The sequence below is a fragment of the Homo sapiens genome, chromosome 5 (assembly GCF_000001405.40).
Source record: "Homo sapiens chromosome 5, GRCh38.p14 Primary Assembly".
Lineage (NCBI taxonomy): Eukaryota > Metazoa > Chordata > Mammalia > Primates > Hominidae > Homo > Homo sapiens.
In genome coordinates, this window is record NC_000005.10 from 168,357,477 (window position 1) to 168,374,982 (window position 17,506).

General features: G+C 46.6%; 1 protein-coding gene across 18 annotated transcripts in view, besides 1 other annotated feature; it reads left to right on the forward strand.

The window, feature by feature from the left end:
- The window catches only part of WWC1 (WW and C2 domain containing 1), a 180,659-nt gene that overhangs the window by 65,832 nt on the left and 97,321 nt on the right, over positions 1-17,506 (forward strand). For 16 of the 18 annotated variants that reach the window (XM_011534485.2, XM_011534486.2, XM_011534488.2 and 13 more), the window contains exon 2: positions 13,948-14,057. The exons of 1 other annotated variant lie outside the window; for it this stretch is intronic. In XM_011534485.2, coding sequence (XP_011532787.1) covers positions 13,948-14,057 — 110 coding nt within the window. Of the gene's footprint in view, positions 1-13,947; positions 14,058-17,506 lie in introns of those variants that run through there. One more of the 18 variants, XM_047417020.1, reaches the window with a different exon arrangement.
- Positions 7,643-8,176: an enhancer, noted in NCBI's record as "H3K27ac-H3K4me1 hESC enhancer chr5:167792124-167792657 (GRCh37/hg19 assembly coordinates)". NCBI's record gives its function as "activates a minimal SCP1, AML or CMV promoter by ChIP-STARR-seq in primed H9 embryonic stem cells {active_cell/tissue: H9 hESC(primed)}" and the evidence as "EXISTENCE:reporter gene assay evidence [ECO:0000049][PMID:30033119]".

The window sequence follows — 17,506 nt, forward strand, 5'->3', positions numbered from 1 at the left end:
TGTGTGTGTGTGTGTGTGCGCGCGCGCACGCATGCACGTGCGTGCATGCCAGGGTATTGTGTTCCCTTTCTGTGCTTGAGAGGCTGAATGAACAAGAGAAGAGCAAAGGCAAAGAGGACAATGCCCAGAAGTCATCCTCGCAGTATGAATGAATAATTCATATTGTATCTGCCTCTTTCTAGGGCTTCCCAAAATAGCTGTTTTAATTGCTTATTTGTTTCACTGCTGACTTTATTCCAGCCGCCTTCAGCTCAGAACACTTCGGTGTTTCATGTTGACTTGCAGGTAGGGCTTCCCTTCAGGGAATAACATTCTATTTATTTTCTTCTTTAAAAAGAAATGATGGGAGAAAAACCCATAAAGCAAGTCATACTTTTCAGAGGCGAAAACTGTTTCTTTTCCACTGTTGTGCAGAGCTCCTTTGTAATCAGTTACTGTAGGCCTCTGTGGTCCTAAAAACCAAAGAAATAGCAGTCGAGTTGCAGACAAGGCGAGCTTCTGGCTAGAGCAGCCTGCTCACTGTGATGTGTTCACTTGGGAATCTGAGTGTGCAAACACTTGGGAATCCACAGACTTGGGACCCTTGCATGTGGTGGGCCATGCTGGCTTGTGGTTTTCCAGACATGTCAGCTGCAGCATCCGGAACAGGTCTCAGGAAGGCCCTGTCTATCTGGGTGGGTGACCTGGGGAAACAGTGTCATGTCTCCCTGGGGCCCTGATAGGACACCTTTGGTAGGCAATGCACAGCTTAGTTTAGAAAAGGCTTCATACAGTGGTCCTGGAGGGATGACTTATTGTATACAATAAGGAGATGTCAGGAGGTGTGTTCAGAGAATGAATGAGGATGGGCAAGGAGAGCTCGGTGAGTGTCAGGGAACCTGAGTGTCCAGAAGGATCCACTCCTCTGGCTGCGTGACCCCAAACACATCCTTGGGACACAGTCATGGAAACTCAGTGCTGAAAGGTCCTGTAGCCATCACTTTGTCATCTCATGGTAGGGATGGGAAAACAGCAGCCCAGGGGCTGGGAAGGTGCCCACAGCCACTCAGTAGTATAGCTGAGGATTGATACCAGTTGGATTTGCCTCTCAACTAGCTGAGTGTCCTTGGATGAACCAGTTAACCTCTCTGTGCCTCAGTTTCTACATCTATAAAATGGAGCTAATAATACTGTGTATAAGATTGTTTTAAATAAGCTAATATGTTGCATTGAATTGACGATTTTCTTTTTTCTTACAACTTTATTGAGGAATTTTTGAAGTCTACTAAATGGTATGTGTTTAAACAATTTTATGAGCTTTGACACGCATATATATATATATATGTACACATACATACATGTATACGTACACATGTAGGAACTCCTCATCATAATCAGTATAACAAACCTTATCTCCAAAACTTTTCTTGTGCCCCTCTGTAATCCTCTCCCTCTAACCCTCCTCCCCAGGCAACCACTGACCTGCTTTCTGCCCCTGTAGTTAATTTGTTTTTTCTAGAATTTCATATAAATGGAATCACACAATATATGGTTTTTGTTGTTGTTGGTGGTGGTGGGGTGTGTGTGTGTGTGTGTGTGTGTGTGTGTGTGTGTGTTCGAGACAGACTCTCACTCTGTCACCCAGGCTGGAGTGCAGTGGCACGATCTGGGTTCACTGCAACCTCTACTTCCTCAGCTCCAAGGATCCTCTCACCTCCACCTCCCAAGTAGCTGGGACTACAGGTACGCGCCACCATGTCTGGCTAATTTTTTTGTATTGGAGAGACAGGGTTCCACCATGTTGCCCGGGCTAGTGTTGCACTCCTGAGCTCAGGTGATCCACCCACCTCAACGTCCCCAAGTGCTGGGATTAGAGGCGTGAGCCACCACGTCTGGCCTATACACTATAGAGTTTTTTACCTAATATGTGTCTGAAATTAATCTTCATTACTGCATATTTTAATAGTTTATTCCTTTTTATTGCTGAGTAGTATTCTGTTGTTTGGCTGTACCACAGTTGTCTATCCATTTACCTATTGATGGACATATGGATTGTTTCTAGCTTGGGGTTTTTATAAATAAAGATAATATTGATTTTAAGAAGCACCATTATTGTATGTGCCATAAGAAAGGGAAATTGTGCCAATTAAACTATGTCCCAATGTTTTTATGTAATTAGAATGCTTATTTTATATTTGTTGAAATACATTTTTCAAGGTTAGTTTTTTTTGTTTTTTCTTTTTTAACTCACATATCACTTGTATGTGTAAAAAACCCACAAAGGAATATATGAGAAAAATAAAACTCTGGTATTCCTACAGTGTCTTCCCATTCAGAATCCAGTTCTTCGGAGTAGCTTTTTAGCTGAGTTATTAATGTCTGTGCTTTTAATATTGTCCTTTGTGCCCTTAAGAGTGTTAGTCATACAGCCTTGTTATAAAGACCCACAAAAAGGGACTCAAAGCTTGGCAATTCTGTAGAGGTAGCCAGCTTAAGAGTCCTGCTTTGGGAATGTTGCTAAACAGGTCTGTTGCATACCTTCTCCACACCTTTCCACAACCATTTGGTTCCTAGGGGTTAAAAGTGCTTACAACTTTATTGAGGAATTTTTGAATTCCTCAATGTCTTGTCTGTGGGATTTTTATCCCAAGCCTGTAGCACCCGTTCCACCAGTGGCAGTGCTGATGCCTTTGATATATGTGCACACACAGGCAGTGACAGCTCCATCAGGACTGCAGCCTAGGTGATATCAGTTGTAAGATGTCAGTAGTAGTAGCATACATCAGAGTTTCAGAAAATGCTGAATGTGTTTAAAAATGTGCATCTTTTGGTGAAATAGGGTCTATGTAAGGGACATTGGATAGTGCCTGGCATTTTGCAAATACTCAATGAAATTTTGCTTTTATTATTATTATTGCTATTACTATTAAGCCTCAGTTTCCTGTTGGTGAAATTGGGGTGATTGTACCTGCCTCACAGAAATATTGTTAGAATAAAGGAAGCGATCTATTTTACATGGAGCATATGGTCCTGTGCCTAGTGCTTCACTGGCCTTAAGTGGAAGCTGCCCTGACCTTTGGGACAGGTTGGCCAGGTATTAGACTAAAGCTGCAGAGGGTGCCTTAGGGGTGTTAAATTCTAGCTTCCTCTGTTTTGCAGGTGGGAAAGACCAAGAGAAAGGGTTAAGGTCCAGCAACAGGAGTGCCTTGCCCAAGGGCATCGTCAGGCTTCAAACCCAGATCTCATCATTCTTCTTCCAGTGCTCTGTCTAAACCATGCAGTCTTGGGAGGGGCCCCAAGTCAGACAGGATCTCAGAAAAGTCTTCACGGTCAATTCCATTTCTAGAAGGACCAGCTCCTCAAGCTGTGTGGTAAGGGTCAGAGCTCAAGGAGCAGAAGATTCTGGAATGGCCAAATTCCAGGACAGGGTGAGCTGCTGCCTCTGCAGTTACTGCTGATGAGGCTTCTAGACAGCCCAGCACCTGGGAAGAGCCCTTGGGAACCCAGCTCATGAGGCTGGAAGGAATAAGGCTGGGAGTTGAGTGTCCCCAGAGTCCTAAATACAGAAAGGAGTAGGGCTGCAGGCCTGCCTGGGGTTGTGTGCCAGGTGCTGTGTTGAGTCTTGTCCGTGCATGAATGAATGCAAGAACCTGGGAAGCAGGTTTTCTTGTCTGCTCTATACCTGCAGGAAAACTGAGGCTCAGACCTGGGGGAAGGAATGGACTGAGATTACACAGCTAGGAAGGATGGAACTGGGAGTCCTCTCTGGTTCTGTTGGCTTTTTCTTTAGGGCACAGAGCTTCCATAGCCTAACTCATAATTCAGGAATGAGGATGAAGCTGGGGTTGAGCAGGGTGAGGAGCAAAAAGATATTCCAGGGTCTTCATTCTACTGTGGTGTGGGGCTTTTAGGAAATTACCTTCCAAGTAGGTAATGAGAAAAATGAAGAGCCCACCTCCCAACCTCGTCTCTCCATGAATGGGAGCTTCATAGTTCTCCATCTTGGTTCCTACCCAATGATCAGTCTCATTCGGTATAATAGGGTTAGTTAGCCTGGGAAAATGCTATCAATACCTATTTCTTGGAGGCTGTTCAGATGCTTATTGAATTTCAAATGGAGCCAAGCCCAGCACCAAGCTGATTTGATCTCCTGGCATTATGTGATGCAGGGCTGGAGTTGGTCCCCAGGTCCCCTGGGTCCTTGGGTGGCTCCAGGCAAGTCTTTTATCTCTGTCCCTCAGTTTCCTCATTGGTAAAGAAAGGGAGTTGTTTTGTTGGGTTTCTTTTAATTTTAACATTCTCTACGTTGGGGGCCTCATTTGGGCAGCAGTGTGAAAAATAAATCACTGGGTGCGGTGGCTCACGCCTGTAATCCCAGCACTTTGGGAGGCTGAAGTAGGTGGATCACATGAGGTCAGGAGTTTGAGACCAGCCTGGCCAACATGGTGAAACCCCATCTCTACTAAAAATAGAAAAAATTAGCCGGGCATGGTGGCAGGCGCCTGTGGTCCCAGCTACTTGGGAGGCTGAGGCAGGAGAATCGCTTGAACCCGGGAGGCAGAGGTTGCAGTGAGCCTAGACCGTGCCAATGCTCTCCAGCCTGGGCAACAAGAGTGAAACTCCATCTCAAAAGATAAATAAATAAATAAATGAAAAACGAATCACTCACATTTATCAAGCACTCACTGTGTACTCATGTGCTGTTTCATGCATTATCTCATGTAAGCTTCAAGGAGCACTGTGGGGCAGGTCTGAATGGTACCTGCCTGAAAGGGCTGTTGTGAAGGCCAGCTGAGTAAATATATAAATACATTAACTGCTTGGAACAGTTGCTGGTGCATAGTGAGTGCTCAGTATATGTGTTCTTATTTTTCCTGTTTTGCAAATGTGACAACTGAGCCACATAGAGTTTACATATCTTGTCCAAGGTCACACAGCTAGAAAATGACAGAGCCTGGATTCAAAGCCAGTGAGTCTGGCTCCAGAGCCCTCTGCTCTTAACCAAGAGGCAGGAGTGACACATTAGAAAGCAATGGGGACAAAGTGCATCCAGACAGTGCCTGTCCCCAAAGGTGTGCTAAGTCCGTTTTTAAAATATAGCACTGTAGTAGATCAACAAACATATCTTCAGGCTGAATTTGGCCCTCAGGTTGTCCGTTGGCTTTACCTACTCTAATCCATGATTTGGTTCTCAGAACTGAAATCTTAAACCCAACAGGCAGCACACAGAGGGGATTAGCAGCCTGGATTCACCCCATGTCAGTGAGTGGGAACAGATAAGCATAGAGACTCAAGATGGAGGTGAAGGAAGGGGATGGACCCAAAGGGCACAGGTGTGTGATCTCACCAACCCAGCAGGGCAGAGGGAAGACAGAATCCAAGATTTGGCAGTGGGGAGGTGAGCCACTGGTTTGTGGGGGCCTAGTCTGAAGGTAGGGAGGGTTTGGGGTGGAGGAACCGTCTGGAATCTCCCCTCCAGCCCTCCCTCCTCTTCTTTTTTCTATAAAAGAATTTTAGGATGGGAATAACTAGGCCAAGAAAACTTCTGGGTAAGCCAGCCCAAACAGAGTAGGGAAACAAGGAGATCTAAGGGTGGAAAAGCCAGAATTTTGAGACAGGTGTTCGGAGGGTAGAGAACAAGAGGAAGGGAAGTGTTTACGAGAAGAAGAACTTGGGAATTCCAGGTATAAATGCCTCCTCCTTCAGAGAGCAGATTTTGAGAACCAAATCCAATTCAGCTACTGTCTCCTACCTTCTCCCATTTAACTTTCTAAAAAGAGAGAGGAAGCCAGGTGTGGTGGCTCACACCTGTAATCCCAGAATTTTGGGAGGCCGAGGCAGGAGGATCACTTGAGGTCAGGAGTTTGAGACCAGACTGACAAACATGGGGAAATCCCGCCTCTACTAAAAGTACAAAAATTAGCCCGGCATGGTGGCGGGCACCTGTAGTCCCAGCTACTCAGGAGGCTGAGGCAGGAAAATCACTTGAACCCTGGGAGGTAGAGATTGCAGTGAGCTTAGATCACGCCACTGTACTCCAGCCTGGGTGACAGAGCCAGACTCTGTCTCAAAAAAAAAAAAAAAAAAAAAAAGATGGTTTAAGCAGTCCCAGCTCCTCCAGGAAGGGAGGTGATAGAATACAGTGCAAGGTTTATTAGCTGTGCAAGCCAGGACAATTATTTTGCTTCAGTTTCCCCATCATGAAAATCGGGGTATAAAACCTAACTCATCCTAACAGCCAATGTAGATTGAACCCTGAATGCCATGTGGTCAGCACAGCCCATTTTAACGCAGCGGTGACTTTGAGCACCCCCATCTTATGGATGAGGAAACAAAGCCACACAGGTTAGAGTTCATGCCCAAGGGGACAGAGCTAATGAGTGACAGTGCCTGCATTGGGACCCAGATGGCTGACTCCAGACTTGTGAGTTTTAACCACCACCGTGTATCTCTTAGGGTGAAGACTGATAATGGTGGGTGTGGTGATGGTGGTGATGATAGCTCACGTGTTAAGGATTTGAGATAAAGGGTGATGTGATTCTTCACAACGCGCAGAACTCTCTGATTATGTTTGCAACCCACATTTATCAAGGGCTTGTCTTGTGCCAGTCCCGGCACTAGATACTGTATAGGTTATCTCATTTAATCCCCACAACACCCTTATGAGAGTGGGCCTTCCTGTGTAAGTTTCACAGAGAAGAAAACTCCTCTCAAGCAGGTTACATAACCCACCTACAGTTCTGGAAGAGGTGGAGCCTGGGTTTCAGCCTCGCATCCCATTCCTGAGCCTTTGTGGGTAACATCTACCCTGCCTCCTCCTTAACCATGGAGCTGACCACAGCTCTTTCCTCCTCCCCTCCCCAGCCCTCCCTGACTACACCCCATTGCTGCATTCTCTCCCTGCCCATGGCCCGTTGGCCTTTCGCGTCTATACTGCTGACGTAGCACCTTATTAAATATCCCTGCATCCTCTAATTACCTGTGGCTCAGGCCGCGGGTAGCGTTACAGCCACATACACTCCCATGGAATGTTGTGGGGATGACTCCCTGCCTGTTTGGAGTGTGAGTCTTGTTCCCCGGCCAGACCCTCTGCCCCTGGAAGCAGAAACATGGCTTCTTCAAGCGTCTGAGCCCTCGTAGTGCCTAGCATGGGCCTGGAGTGCCATACTCACTTGATAAATGCTTGTTGCTTGGTGGATTGATTGAAATGAGGGTGGAAGGATGAGAGTGGAGGGTGAGGCAGAGAGTGTCTCTGGGTCACCCTCCAGCTCAACACAAGGGCAGTGGTCAGAGGAATAATCCAAAGTGCATACCCAGGCCCCAGAGCCGCCAAAGCTGACCTCCGCCTCCACTTCACCTGAATAGCATGGATCTCTCTGAAATGGCCCTCTTGATTTGCTTCTGGCTGGGGTGCATCTCGCCCTCTAGACTGTAAGGGCAGGGCCCTATCTGTCTCTTTCCTCTGTAGCTGGTGTTAACGAAGGCTCTGCTGTGTGTCATGTGCTCAGCTCTCCTAACAAACTTGAGAGATGGTTATTTTTATCATGCCCAGATTTGTTAGACAATGAGTAAAAGAGTCTGAACCAAACTGAATTAAAGGAAGAAGGACTTCAAACGTTGCCTTTCTTCCTGTTCATTCTGGCCTCCCCGGAGCTAAAGGTGAAGGGACTGCTTAGAAATGGTGTTCTGCAGCAGCCCCAGGTGAAGGAGCATTATCAGGAATTGTGCAACCTTAGCTATGGGAACTATGCGTGTGAAACAGCCCAGGGCGGGAAGAACCAGCCTGGCCATTGTGCCTGGGCTGGGGAGGAGAGGTTCGGCTGAAAGTTTGGACAGTTCTTGGCTTGGAGTCTGGAGGGCCCTTTAGAAAGTGATCCCGCCCAGCCAGCCCTCAGAGAGAGCAGGCCAGCATCCTGCTGGACGGTAATAAAGAGGTTACTGTGGGAAGCTGGGACTTGCTTGGGAAACACTAGGAACATGAAAGATAGGGTATGCATTCTTCAGTCCCGAGAGAATCACCACCCAGTATTAAACTTGGCAGAAGGCTTTCCTCTCCTCCTCTGAGCTGCCTCCTTAGAAAAGGCACATTGTCAGAATGCCGAATGCCCACCGTGGTCTCATGTCCTCACAGCCCGTAGGAAAGTAACTACCAGTTACCCACTGGTGGTTGCCCCTGAGAGGAGGGTAAGGGAGGCTTCCAGCCCCCGGGGTGGCTCTCCCCGACAGGTGTGCCTGTGTGCTGTTTGTAGGGTGCTCCTGGCAGAACCTACCTGTCTCCACAGCGACACATCTGGCCGTTTTTCCAGGAGGGCCTGTTGAGAAACATTCAGGAATGTTTGTGCTCCTTTAGAGATTTGTAATTAAGAAGAGGCAGAACTCGTTCTTGTCTGGCACCCTCCCTTCTTGCCCCTCCAGCATCTGGGTCATTTGATTTCACAATTGGGGTTTTCGGCAGCCCGAGTTGTGGAGGCTGGAAGCAGGGACCGACTGAACCAGGCTGGATGGTGGTGAATTGCTTCACCCGAGGGTGGGGGCTGGGAGTTCCAGGCAGGCCCCCAAGTCCTGGCCACATCTGAAAGTGGACATTTCTTCCCAGGTTGCATCCTTAGCACTTGCCCAAGGTGAAACATTTCAGGCCAGTGGAGCACCCACAGTTCCTGGGGGACGGGGGGTGGCTGGTTTAAATGGACAATTCCTCTCCTTAACTGCCAGGAAGAGTGAGTGTGTGCATGTATGTATGTGTGAGTGTGTCTGTTTAAATCTTTGTGCAGCCAAAAACACATCTCTTCATCCTGAATGACACATCTCTACACACTGAATAATTCATCTCCCTCTTGGCATTTGTTCCGGAGAGAATCTTGCTGTCCAGATTTCTTGTAAGTTGCATAGCCTTCCATAGGCACTTCCTTGTTTCCCATGGAAGAGCTCTGGGAGTCAGGATATCAGTCAGTCAGCCCTCTGGCATTTCCCCTGTGATCGCATCAAAGGGGAATGAGAATATCAAACCCAAAGTGTTTCTCTCTCCTTTGCCCTCTCCTTCTAGCTTTGGGTCCTCTTGCCTCCCTCTGCTTTATTTCTCTTGGGCACAGTGTCTGTGTTCACTGCAAGTGGAATCAGCATTGTGTCCTGGTAGGGTATCCACATGTCTGTCACATTACTGATGCTTGGAGCGAATAAATGTATTTGGCTCTGACATCTCAACGTGTAAGGCTGGAACAATCAGTGGAGTTAATGGTTTTCCAGATAGTGACACATTTTCGGGGTTTCAGTCCCGTCCTCCTAACCCCATCTCCATCCTCACACCCAGCAAGCTCAGTAAATCATTTGTATTAATGACTTTGAAACACTTTTTTTTTTTTTTTTTTTTTTTTTGAGATGGAATCTTGCTCTGGAGTGCAGTGGTGTGATCTCAGCTCACTGCAGCCTCCGCCTCCCAGGTTCAAGCGATTCTCCTGGCTCAGCCTCCCGAGTAGCTGGGATTACAAGTGCCTGCCACCATGCCCAGCTAATTTTTGTATTTTTAATAGAGATGGAGTTTCACCATGTTTGCCAGGCTGGTCTTGAACTCCTGACCTCGGGTGATCCACCCGCCTCAGCCTCCCAAATGCTGAGATTACAGGTGTGAGCCACTGCACCCAGCCGACTTTGAAACACTTAATTGCCTCTTTATTAAGCAGCCATGGATTTCCCAGGTCTATTGAATATCCTTGCACCAACACATAGATAACTGAAGGTCCCAAATATGCTAAAGCCCCCATGCCTTTTGCCTGCTTCAGATGTCCCTCTTGTCTCATTTCACCTTCTGTATCTCTAGCACAGCTTGCTCTGTGTTCCAGATTGTTCTGAGACTCACCCTTCGTCTTGTTATTTTTTATTTATTTACTTATTTATTTTGAGACGGAGTCTTGCTCTGTCCCCCAGGCTGGAGTGCAGTGGCGGGATCTCGGCTCACTGCAAGCTCCGCCTCCCGGGTTCACGCCATTCTCCTGCCTCAGCCTCCCGAGTAGCTGGGACTACAGGCGCCCGCCACTGCGCCCGGCTAATTTTTTGTATTTTTAGTAGAGAAGGGGTTTCACCGTGGTCTCGATCTCCTGACCTCGTGATCCGCCCGCCTCGGCCTCCCAAAGTGCTGGGATTACAGGCATGAGCCACTGCGCCTGGCCCAGTCTTGTTAATTTTTATTAGCAGAGCTCGAGTTTTGGAATCTGGCAGTGGAACTTCAGGTTATACCTGTGGTGTTTACTAACTGTGTGATGCCGAGCATGTTTTCTTATTTGCAAAACAGAGTAAGAGCACCTGCTACCTGGAAAGGGAATGTCACATACACAGCTTGCTTTCTAGGCCTAGAGTTAGCCCTTATTCAACATTTTAGTTATGATTAATATATGAACACAACAAATAAATTAATAAAAAAAAAGAAAGAGAAGAAATAAAATTACACTGAAATCCCTATATTCAGATAGCGTTTCAATCTGTGTCTTTCCAGTTTCTTTACTAACACACACACACACACTCTCTTCAGGCAAAATGTCATACTGTAACAGTATCCTGTAGCTTTTATCTTTGAACAGTGTTGTTTTTCTCAGAGTATATTGAGAGCATCTTTCATGTTAGCAAAATAAAGAACACTTCATCTTTTTTTTTTTTTTTTTGAGACGGAGTTTTGTTCTTGTTACCCAGGCTGGAGTGCAACGGCACGATCTCGGCTCATCGCAACCTCCACCTCCCGGGTTCAAGTGCTTCTCCTGCCTCTGCCTCCCAAGTAGCTGGGATTACAGGTGTAAGCCACCACACCTGGCCAGAACACTTCATCTTTTTTGGTTGTTCCTACATATTCATTACATTATTCACCCATTGCACAAATATTTATTGAGCACCAATTATGCCAGACACAGGATTCTGTAGCTTGGATGCACCACTGATTAAAATCACTTAATTAATCTCCAAGGAGGAATTTTGAAAAGTGATGATCTATACGCAGAAACAGGGGAGCTGTTGGGAAGGGGACGTATCTTCTTGGTTTTCTGGGTTGCAAACTGTCTATATAAGATTCATACCTCTTCTGGTAGGTGGGACTTCTCTGGGCACAGTGCAGGTGGAGGAATGAGCCAGAATGATCTCTCTGGTGGCCTGACCATGCCTGTTTCCCCACAGATTGACCTGTCATCAGCCATGGAGTCACTCCCCATGGAAGGCATACCTGCGTGTGGAGCTTTCCTTCAGAGCCCCTTTCAAGGCTTTGTTAGATGAGGTGATGTTAGATGAGGCTTTGCTCTTGGTTGCTGGTCTTCATTCTCCATAAGGAAGAGGGAACAAACCACTTAAAAAACTTTAAGCAAGACACTGAGAGAAGTGGCCTTTTGTTTCTGACATCTGGCAGGGCATGGAGGGTGGTGGCGGGTGGCCTGGAGACGGCTTTGGGGAAACTTCATCCAGGTCGTTTGGAGCAGATGCTCCTGAACCAAGTGCATCCTGAGCTGAGGGAAGTCCCCATCACCTGTGTCTACCCCATTTTCCCTCCTTCTACTCCAAAATGGTAGTTTGTGTTTTCCCGTGGGGCTTAGGAGATGCAATGAAGGTGTCAGCTTTCAAGATAATCTGGTAGCTCCCTGCAGGGGCCCTAGAGACCAGCCATCTTGCTTGAAATCCCAGCTTTGTCTTTGACATTGAGAATGTTATTTAGTCTTTCTTAGCCTCAGTTTCTCCTTCTGGTAAATGGAGGTAAGGATAACTAATGATTTTTGAGTGCCCATTCACACTAGCACCTGTGCTAAAAGTACTCACAAACATGGCCTTATTTAACCCACCCAACAAATGGAGAGTTAGTACTGTCCTCATTATACAGATAAGAATACTGAAGCTCAGAGAAGGAAAGTAAGTTGCCTAACTCACACAGCCAGTAAGTGATGCTTACTGAACCCTTATTTGTTTTGTTGTTGTTGTTGGTGGTGGTGGTGGTGTTTTAGAGTCAGGGTCTGGCTCTGTTGCCCAGCTTGTAATGCAGTGGTGCCATCACAGCTAACTGCAGCCTCCAACTCCTGGGCTCAAGCAGTTCTTCCACCTCAGCCTCCCAAGTAGCTGGGACTACAGGTGTGTACCACCATACCCGGCTAATTTAGCACATAGTGTATTGCACATCACATACCTCTGGCCTCATCCTCATGGAACCAGCAGCCTTCCACAGTGCAGCAGTAAATTACTATCAGAAGCTTTTGGGTATTCATTCAACCAAAAGGTATTTTTCATAGCCTGCCAGACCCTGGGTATATAGTGGTACGTGAACACACCAGGTCCTATCCAGCTGGGGCTCTTTCAGCATCCCTTTCTTCATGTATTTTTCTGTAAGTTGGATTTGGAGTGAGTTTTAGAGGGCAGGAGAGTGTAAGCCTCTTTTTTTGGTTTTTCCTATGTATTCATTACATTATTCACTCATTGTGCAATTTTTTTTTTTTTTTTTTTTTTTGAGACAGAGTTTCACATTGTCACCCAGGCTGGAGTGCAGTAGTGTGATCTCGGCTCAGTGCACCCTCCACTTCCCAGGTTCAAGCAATTCTCCTGCCTCAGCCTCCTGAGTAGCTGGGATTACAGGCACCAGCCACCATGCCCAGCTAATTTTTGCATTTTTAGTAGAGAGAGTTTCACCACATTGAGCAGGCTGGTCTCAAACTCCTGACCTCAAGTGATCCACCCACCTCAGCCTCCCAAAGTGCTGGGATTATAGGCATGAATCACTGCGCTGGGCCCCGTTGCACAAATACTTATTGAGCGCCAATTGTGCTGGACACAGGATTCTGTAGCTTGGTTGCACCATTGATTAAAATCATTTAATTAATCCCCAAGAAGGAATTTAAAAGGTGATGATCCATATGCAGCAGCAGGGGAGCTGTTGGGAGGGGACATATCTAGCAAGTCTCTTCCTTGGAAGGAAGCCCTTGATGAGAAATCCTAGACCCCAGCCCAGTCATCTCCCGTCCTGTCCCGTTGTACTTCACTTTGCCAGTCTATAGAAAGAATCTGAAGCAGAGCCTTCTGGGCTTCCAGAATTGGGATTGGGTAGGAAGCAGACAGGAGAAGGAGATTGTAGAATATGTATTTTAGGCAGAGGCAGTGATGGGAAGAAACCAAAGTGACTGTCTGGAGGGGCCACCCAGGCTGAATCTCATATACCCAGATTCCCAGCTTCCCATACTCTGGTTTAAATACTTGACAAATTGTTTGTGATAGTTTTCTAGCACTGACAAGCCTTTGTTAGTTTAGTTGAGTGATTTGTTTATTTGATTTAGCCATTGAGACTTGGTGATTACTACCACTTTGATCCCCACAAGATGGGGACATAGAGAGCGGTTATTGCTAAAAGATCAGTTTGGCCTGGATTGTCTAAGGAAGCGCCATTGTGGGTGCAAGCATTTGGGAATCAGCTCAAGAGGAAAATAAATACTGCTCATTGGCCAAACTCACAGGGATGGAACATCTGCTATTCTTGATGTTGCGGCAAGCCAGCCTTCCAAAGGGCAAGTGAGCATGACAGGCGTGAGACAGAGCCAGGATAAGGATTAGAGGTGGGGTGGCTGAGTGCGTTGCAGGTGAAGAAGCCAAGGAGGGCTGGAGTCCAACTCAAGAAGCAAGACTTGACCTTAGACCCTTTGCCTGCAAACCCTCAATCAGAGTTGCAGAAACAGAGGCCCAAAGAAGGAAGTTGACTTGCTCCAGTCACTTCTGAAGGAGTGGCAAAGTTGGGACCAGAACACAGATTCCCTGCCTCCCACACAGGGTGATCTTATCCTGCTGCTGCAGCTATGTGTTCACCTTCCCGGGAACAAAGGGGACAACAGAGCTGGTGCTGCTGTGGTGTAAAACTTTTGGATCTGTTGAGCCAGCCCAGAAAAGCAGGAGGCACAGGGAAGCAGCAGGTTGCAGGCATTTGGGGACTGTAGGCTGATGGAGTCTGTTTCTCCTCTCCCTTGCCAGGTACACCAAACCGCTCACCTTTGCTGACTGCATTAGTGATGAGTTGCCGCTAGGATGGGAAGAGGCATATGACCCACAGGTTGGAGATTACTTCATAGACCACAACACCAGTAAGTTCCCGACGGTCCTCCCTTCCCTGTGCCCTCTTCATCCCTCCACCTCCAAGCCCATCCTCCCTCCAAGTCTGGAAGAACCACTTGCAGACTCTTGGAGCCAGATTGTATTTTGTTTTATATAGATTTAGATAGAAATGTCGATGTAGATATAGATAGATAATGTATGCTTGTGTAAAAATAACAGTTTAGAAGGGTTTTTAATAGAATCTAAAACTCCTCTCACAATCCATCTCCCCAATTTTATGGGGGCAGCCACTGTGAACAGTTTCTTGTGTATCATTCCAGAAATTTTCTAATCATGTGTTTGTATGTGTGTATGTGTATATATGCACATATATATTTACATATGTAAATTTGTGGGCATACCTTTTCTTCCCCCTAAAAGAAAGATGTGTCATTGTCATTGCCAGACTATCTTAGAGCAGCCAGAGCCCTAGCAGGCCCCCCACAGCATGTATGCATATATGTCCATAGTGAATTGGCGAGAGAGAGAGAGAGAGAGAAAGAGTGTGTTTGTGTGTGTGTGTGTGTGTGTGTGTGTGTGTGTGTGTGTGTCTGGCCCATCATACCAGTCAGCCCACCCTCACTTCATATCTGTGATCCAAGTATCCCAATCCGTTACAAAGATTCCTAGTACCTCTGTCTCTGGGACTGTGATGGAGGAATGACTTGAGGAAAGAAGCAGGTTGTCTGACAGGTGGAGGAACCCAGGGAGCAATCCTCCAGCGGGGGAGAGTTGATGTGTGTTTGGGCCTCATCCACTGAGCACCCTCTTGGCCAAGACTGTTCTCTGAAATTTGCTGTCCCACTTGTGCATGTGTACAGAGGAAAGGGATTTTTCAGCCTCACTCTCAGCCTTCTAAACTGTAGCATCCCCTTAATCCTCTCAGGCAAGAAGAAAATAGAATGAAATGGGATGTGCCTGGCAAAGTCTGAAGGCTGAGACTAGGGCATCAAATCCTAATAGCCTCTGTTTACTGAGCACACAGTCTGTGCCGTGTCCTGTGCTGAGGACTTGATAGGCATTATCTCTTTTAATCCTCCCAATTCCTGGTGGGATGTTCAGATGATCATCCCCATGTCATAAATGGGATTTAGAGTCAATTGACTACTTAAGACTCACAGCTAAAATGTGGCAGGGCTGGGATTGGAACTGGCCCTGGAGAATGAAGTTGTACTTCTCCACCTACTTCCTCTTCTGGGTTTCAGTAGCACCCTGGCCACACCTGTCTTGTGCCCTTCATCACCCTGTATTATAATCATTTGCCTGTTGTTGCAGGTCTCCTAGAGCAGAGACTGTGTCTAATTCATCTCTCTAGTCCCAGGCCTTTGCCTGGTAAGGCACATAGTAGGTGTGAACTTAACCTGTGCTAAATAGAAAAGGGCATACGTGCATGAATGCATGAATAAATGGGTGAATGAGTGGACTGTTGTTGGCACCAAAGTGTAGAAGAGCTTCTGAGAGACAGCTAATGGCATTAATTGCATTGTTGGGGGTAGCAAAGGTTTTTATTAGCACTCATGATTGCGTACTGGATAATGAGAAGTAAATATGCCTAATTGAGTGTGTATGGGGAATGAGGTTAATGCTTGGAGGGCTGCATGGGATGCTGGGTTAAACACTGATGTGCAGGAGACCTAATCAGTCTTTTCCTGTTTCTAATTGCTGAGTGCATCCCCCTCATTAAAATCTCATGGTGGGAGTGGGATTTCAAGGTGCTTCTGGGAGCTGTTGGAAAAATGGAAGAAAGTAGTAGCAGGCCGTGGCAGAGTTTATTCTTGAGGGAATGAAGGCAGAAATGGGGTGTATGGGGGTGATTAAATGGGGCCATAGCAGGAAGAATTCTATCTGGTAGTTTCACAAGCTGTCAGGCTACTGGTTTCCTCTTGGTTTGAGGTGGTCTGGTTGGATGTGGGGGACCACCTCAGTAGATGGAGCCATTGATAGCAATATAGTAGGAATATGAGCACCAAGGCCCAGGCATTCAGAGCCATGCACTTGGACCAGTTCTGTGTGTGCATTGTTCATGGACTGAAATTCTCTTAAGAGTTATAGACACAATATCGGGCATGTTTGCATGTGTCTATAGTCCCAGGTACTTGGGAGGCTGAGGCAGGAAGATCATTTGAACCCAGGAGTTCAAGGCTAGTCTGGGCAACATAGCAAGGCCTTGTCTCTTAAAAAAAAAAAAAAAAAAAAAAAAAAAAAAAAAAAGGTGGGGGTGTGCTGGGCGCAGTGGCTCACGCCTGTAATCCCAGCACTTTGGGAGGCCGAGGTGGGCGGATCACGAGGTCAGGAGGTCGAGACCATTCTGGCTAACAGAGTGAAACCCCATCTCTATTAAAAATACAAAAAATTAGCTGGGCGTGGTGGCGGGCATCTGTAATCCCAGCTGCTCAGGAGGCTGAGGCAGGAGAATGGCATGAACCCTGGAAGCGGAGCTTGCAGTGAGCCGAGATCCCGCCACTGCACTCCAGCCTGGGCAACAGAGCGAGATTCTGTACCAAAAAAAAAAAAAAAAAAAGAGAGAGAGGTATAGCACAATATAATCAAACAACAATTCGCTCATACATTCACCATCGAGCATTCATTCATTTAGCAAATGTTTATTGGCCAACTCTTCTGGGAGCTTGCGATACATGGGAGTACAAAATGGCAAAGATCCTTGCTCTTATAGAAATTTCATTTTGGCAGGAGAGACAAAAAATAAATAAGTAGATTATGTAGTATGTTAGAGAATGTTCAGTACACAGAAAAAAGGAGCAAAGTCGGGAGCTGAGGTGTATTTGGGGGTGGCGAAGAAAGGGCCGTGGTAATGGTGACCAAGAGTACCATTAAATATGATGTGGTCTTCCGGGAAGAAGATCTTGTTGAGACAATGAGATTTGAGCTAAGACTTGAAGGAGGTGAGAGAGCATTTCAAATAGAAAGCATAGATAGAAGAAGAACTCCAAGGTGTGATCACATTTAGCGGTCAAGGGATAGCAAAGAGGCAAGTGTGCATATAACATAATGAGTGAGGAGAGGGGAGAAGGACATCAGGACAGAGTGCAGCAGAGTAGAGGTCAGGCAGTGGTCTGCCCCAGAGGCCTAGCTCTTCCGCTGTGTGAGATGGGAGTGAGCCATTGGAGAGTTTTAAACAGATGAGTAACATGATCTGACTTATGTCTTAAAAGGACCAGTCTGACTGCCATGCTGAGAATACACCTTATTAGGGCAAGGGTGGAGGCAAGGAGACTTGTGAGCGACAAATGCCACAGTCCAGGCGCCCTAGACCTGGGCTGTAGCAATGGTCAGGGTGAAGATTGGCCAGATGCTGGAGGTATTCTCTAGGTAGAGACAGCAGGATTTCCCGATAGATTGCATGTAAAGTATGAAAGAAAAAGGAAAGAATAACTTCTGGAGCTGAGCAACTAGAAGGATGGAGTTGCTATCAACCAAG